Raw genomic sequence first — 12,579 nt, forward strand, 5'->3', positions numbered from 1 at the left:
TTATATATTTATTCACTGCAAAATAACAAATTTCAGCAGAGAATGGAAATCTTTTTCTGCAGGACATCATGAAATGCAAAGCATCCATGGTTTAATGTCTATCCTAAAATGGTGACAACTGAAAGAGTGTTAACTGATGTAATCTTCATAACTTAGTACCAGAGATACTACCAAACTTGAATACGTCTAAAATGCCCTCACAAACATAGTAAACCATAACTCTATGGGCCACTAGGAAAATATAAAAATGATGCTAAATAAGCCCATCTGCACTGATATCTTTAAACTATCAAGAAGTCTGTGTTTCAGAATCAGTTAGATAAGAGATTATAAGTCTGCGTGTAAAACAAGGTAGCTGAGGTAAGACAAGTGAGAGACACAGGATTTGAATCCAGATAGGCAGACATGAGAGCCCACCCTCCTAACCAAGAAGTGGATCCAAAGGAAAATGTTGAGACAATCTCAGTGAATGATGAGAAAGGAAGTCTGGAAAACTTTATAATCCTTCAAAGTTAGAGAAGTTAATTTAAAAGTTGCCAGAGAAGCTTAATACTTTGTTTTCTTCCACTACATACTCCAAAAAATGATGAAAATAATCACCATCACTCTCTATTTGTGGGAAATTGTGTTTTTTTTTTGGTAGAGGAATGGATTATGGTTTTTTCTTTATGCATAAACCAATAGCAAAACTACTAGTATGAAATGTGAATATTAAACTCGGCTACTAGTGTATTTGAGAAGTTTTTGGACATGAGATCACTGAAACATTTCTTACTCTGGGGAAATCGAGGAGGGTTGTTGTTGACATCTGTCAGCGTGATGTTCACTGTGGTGGTTCCAGAAAGGCCTCCCATCTGGCCACCCATGTCTTTGGCCTGTATAACAACCTGGTACTGCTCTCTATTTTCTCTGCTCATGTCTGGTAATGCAGTTTTTATTATGCCTTTTGGAAAAAGCAGACAAAAGTTTTGCAATTAAATCGCTGAGTTTTAAAATTAAGCTAGACAAGACTCATTTTACAAAAGTTGATTATAACAAACATAAAATGTCAGTGTATTTAAATATGTCCTTCAATCCATAACCACTTTAAGATAATTCACAGAACAGGAAGGATTTTCCCACGGGCTATAGTTCATGAAATGGGTTTTGCTAAATCAATGTATTTAATTTTTTTGATTACAAAAATTAACTTCAGTCAAAAATCTTTAGACATATACAGTTGTTTAATTTTGATAATTGTCATATTCAAGTTTTGAGTATTCTCTATGCCACATAATGTGCTGAATCTCTGTGAAATTTTGTATTTAGTGTTTCAAATTTAAACCCAATGAATAATAGTTTAAAGAGCTAAGGGTTCAAATAAGTTATTAAAATAATAGAAAGTTTGCATTTGTTTACATCCAATAATGACAGGAAACAAATAGAAACATGAAACTGAAAGAATAATGGTTTTAAAATATTTTAAAAATCTCTAAATTAATTATGCATCTTAATGTATTATACAATAAGAAGTCAGCCAAGTTTAAATGTTGTACCTGATTCTGGGTCCACTGAAAAATATGGCTGTCCTTGCAATATGCTATAGACCACTTTGGCACTATTTCCATAGTTGGCGTCATCTGCATCTGTTGCAGTTACTTGTATAACAGATGTACCTACATGAAACCCCCATCCCCAAACAGAGACATTTACATACTTCCAAATCTGAAACAATCTTTCTTAAAAATATGTTGCTCTCAGTGTTTTGTATTAGACGATGTTGTATGTTTGAAGAAATTTATTTAAATACTTCCTCAAAAAAGTTACTTTCCTTTCTCATTTTCTATAAACTGAAGTGTTTCTTAATTTTTTTGTTTATCTAAGAAAAAGTATCAAAATATATTATCAGTAAGGTGAATATAATAAGACTAATTAATGCATCACATTTTTAATTGATTGGAAGTGTTTTAGGGCAAACATTCTTAAAATGAATATAACACACATGAAATTTGTAATTAATACATTTACCACTAACTGGAAACATGTATTTAAAAGATAAATCTAACATTTTTTAACCTGCTGCTGCTTTTTATTCTGGTATATTTGACTGTAAATGGTAAATAAAATAAAAAAATAAAGAGAAAATTTCTATGAAGAAATAAACCAAAATGCTGTAAAATTGACCTGCAAGATATTTTTTGTTCCCAAGATATACCTAATTATGAAGGGCCTATGCCTCTCTTTTAAATATAGATAATATGGTTCTTATGATTACCTCTATTGATATGCTGCATAATACTGGTTATTTGCTGCACATTTGTAAATCATTATTCTCCAAAAGAAGATCTAAAGTGTGTAATTCTGTGTCACATGCAATACTGCAATTTAACCTTACTATCTAATTTTATATCATTAAATTTAAATTATGTTAAATTTTGTTTCAAATCTTTCAAAACATAAAAGTGCTTTAAAAGCAGGGATCAGCATAATAAAATATATTGATGAATTTTTAAAATTATCTTTTCCTGAATTTCTATAAAGATTCAAAGCATGGTTCTGACATCACCCTTAAATGAAGCCTACTAGGTTTGCCCTTGGACAAAGCTAGATTGTAGGACATTTTTCAGTATATTTTACATAATTTCTAAAAGTTTGAGTCTCACTCTTACATACATTTTAAAGATTTTGAAAATAGGAGGAATTCCATATTGGCCCTACCACCTAATTTAATAGCCCACATGCATTACACACTCAATAACTTGTCTAATTGAATTATGGTGGATGTTTCTCAAATGTTGCGTGTATATGTGTATGCCAATTCCAAAAATTAATATATAGTAATTAAGATCAATATTAACAGCTCATTTCCTGTCAATATGTTTGAATGTTAACACATCAATTGAGCAAGGCTTTTTAATGTTTTCTCAAAATTAATTAGCATAACAATGACAACTTGAGCTCATTCTCTTGAGGCCTCTGTTTTCTCAACTGTGATGGAATTGATGTGTCCTGTGAGTGAATGGAAACATTGCATATTTACTTAATCCATTCCAGCTGTAAGCTTTTATCATTAAAAAATTATCCACCCATGTGTTCATTAGATGAAAGCAAAAATGATAAAGTGATTTACATTCCCCCCACACAAATCACTTTATGATGTGCAGAAGTTCAACAAGTGTTTTTTTTTAATTTACATGTAATGTCCTTTTTATATAACCCTATGTGATATATATTAGAATAAGTGTGGTTTTCACAATTGGAGGTTATTGAAATATGAATTATTAAGCATTACCAATATGCTGAAAATACAAGTAGTTCGTTCATCAATTTTAGGACATTTCTTGAGTTACCCATTTTATTTTTCTTTTAACATGAACATTATTGTAAGCTTTCATAATGGGTACAGGTAAAAACAATCTTTTATGTTTATTTGACTCTTTCAAATAATATTTTTGTGGAATTTTAATTTCGATTATTAGCTCTATTAGTCGGTAGATGATCTTTGAAGTTACGCAAGGACGCTTAACAAAGAGAAAGAAGTTAATATAAACAACAGAAATAAACTCTATGATGTGGCCAAAAAGCTAAAAGCACACATAAAATACTTGTTCCACCTCTCAGAGCTCTGGTAATAATTAAGAATGCTTTTAAACACTGGTAGTCACTGACAAAATATCATTGATATGTTATTTTTTAGCAAACTGAGAGACAGTGTGTTAGATTATAGGGAATAAAGAGTTGTAGTTTTTTTCAGAGGTGTAATTAAAAGTTAAAAGCATTTAGTAATAAAATTAAATAGAAAATGGTTTATATGTTTTATATTAATTTTTGTTTTTTTTGAGATGCAGTCTCACTCTGTAGCCCAGGCTGGAGTGCAGTGGCGCAATCTCGGCTCACTACAACCTCCGCCTCCCGGGTTCACGCCATTCTCCTGCCTCAGCCTCCCGAGTAGCTGGGACTACAGGTGCCCGCCACCAAGCCTGGCTAATCTTTTTTGTATTTTTAGTAGAGACGGGGTTTCCCATGTTAGCCAGGATGGTCTCGATCTCCTGACCTCATGATCGCCCGCCTTGGCCTCCCAAAGTGTTGGGATTACAGGCGTGAGCCACCGTGCCCAGCCATTTTATACTAATTTTATAAATGTTTCTTTATAGAGACAAAATAAAAGAGAATACACATGGATATTTACATCCCACTAAATTTTCCAAAATATGTATAATTTTTATTTGTTCTTTAGTTATTTAAAATAAATATTTTATTTTCATATTAAAGATAAAAATATAGTAAGTAAAATATAGTGAAACTTGAATGACAAATTTATATATTGCATCTCATATCAAAGAGGTAAACACGATTTTGAGACCATTTTTTTTCTTTTTTTTTTTTATTATACTTTAAGTTTTAGGGTACATGTGCACATTGTGCAGGTTAGTTACATATGTATACATGTGCCATGCTGGTGCGCTGCACCCACTAACTCGTCATCTAGTATTCGCGAGACCATTATTTTTGCAATTCACATTTTTATGAGTTTTGCATATAATATCTTACTTTAAATAGAAAATATGTTAAGGAATCAAAGAAGTTTACTGTAATTCTTAACTCATTATTTACTTAACTGTATAACTAATAATCTTTAGGAAAATTTCAAAGACTCAAAGGCTAATTCTATAATAGTAAATCATGAAGAAATGTTAAAAGCTGATAAATAATTCGGTGGCTAAAGATTTTGGGGAACCAAAAGCATTCCTCTGGATATGGGAGAAAAATTCATCAATATAATTATTATTATAATTTAAAGATAAGAAAAGTTTAGATTACACAATGTAACCAAGTTATGCCAGTTGGTCTTACATATATATTTACACATCATATTAGAGGAAGTTAAATCAATTCATTTTATTACACTATACAAAATAAACTTCATATATAAAAGAAAAAACATCCCTCTATATATTTGTGCCTTATATGCAAATATGAAAATGTTTTGAATCTAGTGTTTGAAATATTTAAAATCGCAAATGTAAATGACCCCAAAACCTAGGCCTCGTATCTATCATCCATCTATCTATCTATCTATCTATCTATCTATCTATCTATCTGGCATTAATTATCTCTCTATATAAACTTACAATAAAATATTTGTATACAAAGATTACTTAGTCAGTATAAATGTTACTAATTTAAACGGTTTTCTACACACAGATAGTATAGAGAAGGGGAAATACTGCCTTTATTCTTCTTTAACAAACAGCAACTTTGTGGCATGGTAATGTCAGAAAATATGTATCACAGCCTATTATGTTGTATAACATGTAAAAGCTTTCTCTCTCTCACACACATTCTCTTTATCTGTATCTATGTATATCTATCTATCATCTGTCTTTCCATATGTCTGGAGTGGTTGATAGAATGGTAAAACCAACTAAAGTTTAAAGAAACAGAATCACTCTATGAACTAGAGGAAACAAAGAAAAGAGGTGAATAGTATGGGCTTTTTCCTGCCCTGTAGCCTAAGGCCTGTCTTTTGAGCACTGTAGAAAAGAGACTGGAATATTTTGACTTGCTTCAGTGTGAGAATAAGTTAACGAAAGTTACAGAAAGTGAAAAACGAGTTTAGTCTTCACACCTCTATATGAATCTGGTTTTGACAGAGTCAACTGTTTTCTTCTGCCATAGGGCGATGACAGCCACTAATTTGAGGAGCAGGGGTAAACAGTGCCCTTGACATAAATGTTTGTGCTGTGGGGGCCACTAATAAGAGAAGTAGGGGTGATGTTTTCAGACAGTGTCATGGAATTATAAGGGGTCCATTAATTCGATGTCCAGGAATTTAAATCATGCTTTGTTAGATATAAGTTTATTTTACTGTGAAATGCAAACTCTTTAAGGGCAGAGTCCATATCTAGTTTGTTCAACACTTTATACTTAAAACCCAGCAGAGAATCTAGTGCAAAATCCTAAGAACTAACTTTCACAGAATGCTTAATGTAGACTAGACATAGTTCTCAGCACCTGACTAGTTTTTATTACTTAATCCTCATGATACATGTGGGATGTGGGCCTTGGCGTACATAGAAGTTGCTAATGACCACAAACCCGGTATGTGATAGAGCTGGACTAGGTCAAAGTCCATTATAAATATATTTGGTCAAGAATTTTCTTTATAAATACTTTACCAAACGGCCTATCTCTCTGGTGTTAGAAATACAATTGGATACATTATTGAATCCACACATAGTGAACCTCTGGGACATGAAGAATTCATTGACCGAGTTATTTTTGTTGTCTGTAAAAAATTACAAAGGGATTCCTGGTTGGGGGTCAAAGTGTTAGGAAGAGGACTGGATAGGTTTTTGAGAGTGAAGGTGGGGGAAATTTCCAGTCACTGAGAAAGGAAGCATCCCCAATCACCAAATTTACAAAACAAAAATTTGCCTAGGTGAAGACGAAAGCATGCACATGAAGCAAGTTGATAGAAAATATTTTATCAATAGTGTAATGATCACAAGAAAAAAAAAAGTAGAAATAGAAATGGAAAATACAAAACATTGTAATCAAAGTGTATCCCATTATCTTTAAATATATATCTTTGTATATCTTCCAGATTATATGTTCTGATTAGAATATGCTAGTGTATTTCAGATTTCATGAGTTTATTGGAGTCATTTTATTTTAACCGAAAATGGGTTGGGCATTTGGCACTAAAAATCCAATGTGAAATATGGCATATGATTGTGACAGACAGAAACTGAAGCAGAGGGAAACAAGAAGGGAAGGAGTTGGTAAGAGAGAAGAAGAAGAAACAAATACTTTAAGAAATAAAAATGAATGGAAATAAGGGGCAGATAAATAGAGATCAACAGAAAATAACATTGTAAAGAAGAGTAGGGCAATAATAGAGAAATCTTATCTTATTCCATAAGACTCTATTTCTTCACAAAGCTAATACTTGCAGTTTTTAACTCTTTGATTTAAATGAAAATATCTTGTACTATCTGAAAATAATTTTAGAATTAAATCATTGTGTATTATTTATAGATGTATTCTTAATTCTTTGATTATGCATCAGATTTAACTGTTAATATATGGGATACACAAGGCATGACAGAGTTCCTAAATATTACTTGTTAGTTTTCCTATGTAAATTGGTTTATTTGGATACATAGGAGTAAAGAAAATCACACCTGCAATAATTATAATGTTAGTCTTTTATTTTCCTTTAAATAAGGTAGGAGAGTTACAATAAAAGATCAATACAAGTTTATGAGGTAAAATATATCTACTTTTTATTTAGACACATTTATATGGTTATATATAGTGATATATGTGATTATATATAGTTTTATATATATACAGATATATATAGATATGTATGTATTAAAATGCAGGGGTTTTATCCCCTTATATTCTTATTTAGATTTAATTTAAATGAGAAGGACATTTGATTTAAAGTAATAAATAAGAAAGATACTAATTTACAGGAGTTACTCACGATTGAATAAATTAAAAGATTTCCAGACTAGATTTTGAATAATAAATAATAAACATAACTACTTAACAGAGAAAAATAGTAAGGCATAAAATTGTCCAGCTATCTCTGTGATATGGTTTGGCTATGTTCCCACCCAAATCTTATCTTGAATTGTGACTCCCACAATTCCCATGTGTCACGGGAGGCCCTGATGGGAAGGTGATTGAATTATGGGGGAGGGTCTTTTCTGCATCTTTCTCCTGAGAGTGAATAAGTCCCAAGACATCTGATGGTTTTAAAAACAGGAGTTTCCCTGCACAAGCTCTCTTTCTTTGCCTGCTGCCATCCGTGTAAGACATGATTTGCAACTCCTTGCCTTCTGCCATGATGATTGTGAGGCCTCCTCAGCCATGTGGAACTGTAATTCCATTAAATCTCCTTTTCTTCCCAGTCTCGGATATGACTTTATCAACAGCATAAAACAGACTAATACACTCTGCATCTATTAACTTTTGTTTTTCTTTTTAAAATTAGGCTAGTAGTAACTTGGCCAAGTCAGTTTAATTCTTCTGGGCTCATGTTTTTGTATTTATTAAAATAGGCAATTAAACCAAATATAGTATCTTCTGCATATGCATATTGTATATAATATATTATACATTTATATTTAGGTAATGGAAGCACATACAAAGTTATAGGTGAACCAAAGTGGAAGCAAGTAATATAATGTTAGTATTAGTAATGAAGAATAACAATTGTCCTCTACAAATAGGATTAAAATTTATCTGTATTCTTAAATCTTTATTTTTTAGTTCCAAAAGCTGCAGCCAGAGCCATACATCTGCCTGCTACTATATCCTTGTCTCATTTTGTGGGAATTCTAGCCAGGTAGTGAATGCAACTGACAATGGCTCAAATCCTTGTATCTGCAACCTACACTGATCCGAAGTTGTACTGCTTACACTTTAAAGCTTATGTAAATGAAATATAGATTGCCTTACAGAAAGATAGTTTGTACAATATAAACTACAAAACATCTTTCATGCATAAACTTATATATTGTATATTTTATTATGAGTGATGGAACCAGTGAAGGATTCTAAAATATATACATATATGTTTGTGTGTGTGTGTGTGTGTGTGTGTGTGTGTGTGTGCATATTTCAGTTCTGATATTGTTACTCAACAAATATTAATAGAACCTAGTTGTATTAGTATTTCACATGAGACAAAATACATTTGAATTATGTATACAGGTGACAAATAGTAATACACAGAGTAAAATATAATAGTCCATTAAGTATCAGAAAACAATGTAGGAGAAAATACAGGTTATGTGCGATTAAATATCAATAGTCTCTGATAGGGAAATACTTGTTTTTTCAAAAAAGTGGGGTACTTCTTTGAAATACTTTGTGTATTCACATTTAAAATAATTATTCTTAAAGTTTCTCATATTCAAATATTTCCATTATCTTAATTATACTTTTTACTTTTCTAGGTATGTCAAATCTTTCTGGGGAAGGATAAGTGAAAGTTTTATATTGTAAGGTTTCAACATATCTGGTAAAATAATATGTACACAAGAGAAACAATAATATTTTACAAAAGGTACTAACAAAAACAGAATTACTTTAAAATAATCATCAATAGGAAATTGATGAGTGTAATTTTATATGTACCTTAATCTCACATATAAACCCATTAAAAAAAACATGGTATGTGTTTAAATTAGCGCACTGGTCGACCTATACAAACCAATCTAGTACTTTCCATGCAACTAAGATACTAAAAAATATAACAGGGAACATATCCACTCATTTTTTGTATTAGAGCTTTATGATTTCACAGGACTCCTGTCTAATTTGATAAATTCCTTTTGTTTTATTAGAGTGAATACCTGAAAGTGCTATTTCAGTTCTATTTAACTGTGTTTTCCTCAATTAGATGACATTTCATTTGAGGTGAGAATAAATACGTTTTTAAAAATTCTTGGTTCTTCCTGCTAAATATCTCACATAGTTAACATTTTACATTAAACATTCAGTAAAGGTGGATAAGTTTGTTTCTCCTTCTATAGAAATTATTTTAGACTGAAACATATATTAGTTATAAGAATGTCAAAATCATACACTGAAAACTGGTTTTGAAATAGTATTCAACTAAATTGTATCAAATTTGGGAAATTGGCTGCAGATCTTGTAAATTAAGTTTATGTCAGTTATTTTAGAAATATTTTTATGATGTGAATCAGTTCTCATTGTCTCGTTAACAAACCTAAACCTTTTATATTAATAGAGTTAAATGTAGTCATACACATATAAAACTCCGCACAAGTGGTATCTAAAATGGTGGGCAGCCTTAAGAAGTGAAACAATTATTTTCAGTTTGCATAAGGCAATGTTCAGTGGTAGAATGTGCACAAAAATAACATAAAGAGACTTGCAATCTTGTCATGATGCTACCAGGTTATTTGATCTTAATTCAGTTGCTTAATCTTTCTGAATCTTGAGTTTCTAATTAACAGAATAGGGATTTAAAGTTCTATTTCTCATGCCTACCACATAAGTTGGCTTTAATGATCAAATGAAAAAACACTTCAGTAGAAATTTGCCAAATGCAAGCATTGTTATTCAAAATAATGCAAGCAAAATTGTCCAAAACTGCTGATACTATCTATTATTCTTTTGATTTCTGGCAAAAATACATTCCACTTGACTGCCATTTGAATGCCAGTTAGTAGAGTTGAGGGTATTGATTGAAATAAAATGAATTAACTGCTATTGATAATCATATTTTATATAAATTACAACATAACAGGAGAATTAAGATATATAGAAATAAAAATAGAAGAGCTAGTTTAAGCTAAATAGTAGTTAACAGTTATAACTCTTATTCTGAAAGAGGCCACATATCATAACCACAAGTCAATAATAATTACCTGAGCAAACAAACAAATAAAAAGTAGTTTACATGGATTAGAATATACCTACCGACTCCAGACATTTCAGGAACACTGGCAGTGTATAAGTCTTTTGTAAATTTTGGCTCATTGTCATTGATATCATGTATTTTAATGATAAATTCCGATTCCGGTTCCACCTGCCGCCCAGTTTTTCTGTCTATAGCCTTGGCACGAAGAATGTACAGAGATTTTTCTTCTCTGTCTAGTTTCTTTGCAGCATGAATGTCTCCTGTATTTTCATCTATAACAAATAGACTGCCAGCCCCATCTCCTGTTAGTATGTATTTTAAATTTCCATCTCCTTTATCTTGGTCAGTGTGAAGCTTTAGAGAGGTAGAAAAGAAGAGTTCTGTAAATATATACATTATCATTACATAAAACATAATTTTGGCGCTATCAATTCGTCTCCATATAACAGCTCTGCAATAATTATCTTAATGGTTATCTTGACTTTTGCTGTGAGAGGGAGTTAAATATTTCAGTTCTTATTACACTCAAAATTTTTAACAGTCATATTTAGACATCATAATGGACTAGATTTAAAATAATGTGAAAATTAATATGTATCTGTCAAAACAAAGATATTTATGAATAAAATGTTACCAAGATTTAAACCTCCAGTGCATTACAAAAAAATCCATTAACCTACATCTTGAGTGTAAAAGATTAATTAATGTTGATTACATTTAAAATGACTAAGCTCTAAGATATGATTTGAGAGATTTCTGAAGGTATTATAATGACAAGTTCAGAATAGCTACCTTAATTTTTAACTGATTTTATTCTCCTTCAGTACAGAGTATCCCCTTATCTGTGGGGGATACATTTTATAAGTGGATCCCTGAAACTGTGGAGTGTACCGAAACCTGTATATATTGTGTTTTTTCCTATATGTACCTTCCTATGACAAAGTTTAATTAATAAATTAGGCACAATAAGTGATAAGCAACAATAACTAATGATAAAATTGAGCAATTATAACCATATACCGTAACAAAAGTTATTTGAATGGTCTCTCTTTCTCTCTCTCTCAAAATATCTTGTTGTTATTTACTGTGGGTAATTAAAACCTCAGAAAGTGAAACCATGATTAAGGGGGAACTACTGTAGAACATTGATTGTAGATTCACGGGCTCTGTATTCAGAGAGACTAATCAGAGAGAGAAAGAGATTTGTAATTACTTATTTTCTATACGACTCTGAGAGAATAGTTCTTCAACCACGATGTTCTCATTTTTAGAAAATGTTTTATTTTTTATACCTTTTAGATTTCAAGTAATATAAAACTCACAGCCTGTCCTCTGGCCATATGAACTATGTCTTAGGAAAAAATAGGATTATGTTTTCATAAATTATCTTCTTTTCATTGATAAATGTCCATCTGTAAAAATAACTTCTTAATGTAGGAGGCTGATCATTGAATATTTACAACAAACAGACCATGTAATCCTAGGAATTACGAATTGAAAAACAACCTTAAAGATTTTACAATCCTAACACGATTCTGAAAATAATTTTTTAAAATTAATTGAAAACAGTAATTGTTTTATCATAAAATTATGACTACAGTATATTTTGATATATGCTTACATTATAAAATTATTAAATCAAACTAATTAACAAATTCATCACCTCACATACTTATCTTTTTTTTTGTGGTGAGAACATTTACAAGGATGTGGATGCAGATGGGAGATATTGATCAAGGAATGCAAAATTTTATTTATTCAGGAGTAATAATCTTCAGTGGTCTTTTGCCCTGCATGGTGACTATAATAAATAATAAACTATATATTTGAAATTATCAAGAAAGTAAATTTTAGATAAAAATGGAGTTTTAACTAGCTTACCCCTGTTATGTTGACTTACATCATATACTTTACAATTCCCATTTACATCCTGCCCTCACCTATTTCTTCAGCATTCCATTTTATCTTTGAATTATTTGACTATTTAAATTATGTTTTTAAATCATAGCCAAAATTAGAAATGTTTCACATTTTACACCTCCTTTGCAAGCTCAGCATCAAAATAATTGTCACATGTAGCCTTCCCATCTCTGAAATATCTTCTCAAGACATCTGTCTCCATCTCTATGGCTACATCATGTATTTTCCTTCATCTTATCTTCTCTGGACCACCAGAGCAATCTTCTAATCAT

At 31.1% G+C, this 12,579-nt stretch overlaps 1 protein-coding gene across 1 annotated transcript in view; it reads right to left on the reverse strand.

Moving 5' to 3' along the window:
- The window catches only part of CDH9 (cadherin 9), a 157,990-nt gene that overhangs the window by 24,587 nt on the left and 120,824 nt on the right, over positions 1-12,579 (reverse strand). Inside the window, exons 3-5 of the mRNA NM_016279.4 lie at positions 10,447-10,741; positions 1,536-1,655; positions 776-943 (exon numbers count right to left, since the gene is read on the reverse strand). Of these exons, the coding sequence (NP_057363.3) occupies positions 776-943; positions 1,536-1,655; positions 10,447-10,741 (583 nt within the window). The remainder of the gene's footprint in view (positions 1-775; positions 944-1,535; positions 1,656-10,446; positions 10,742-12,579) is intronic.

Source organism: Homo sapiens, chromosome 5 (genome assembly GCF_000001405.40).
Source record: "Homo sapiens chromosome 5, GRCh38.p14 Primary Assembly".
Lineage (NCBI taxonomy): Eukaryota > Metazoa > Chordata > Mammalia > Primates > Hominidae > Homo > Homo sapiens.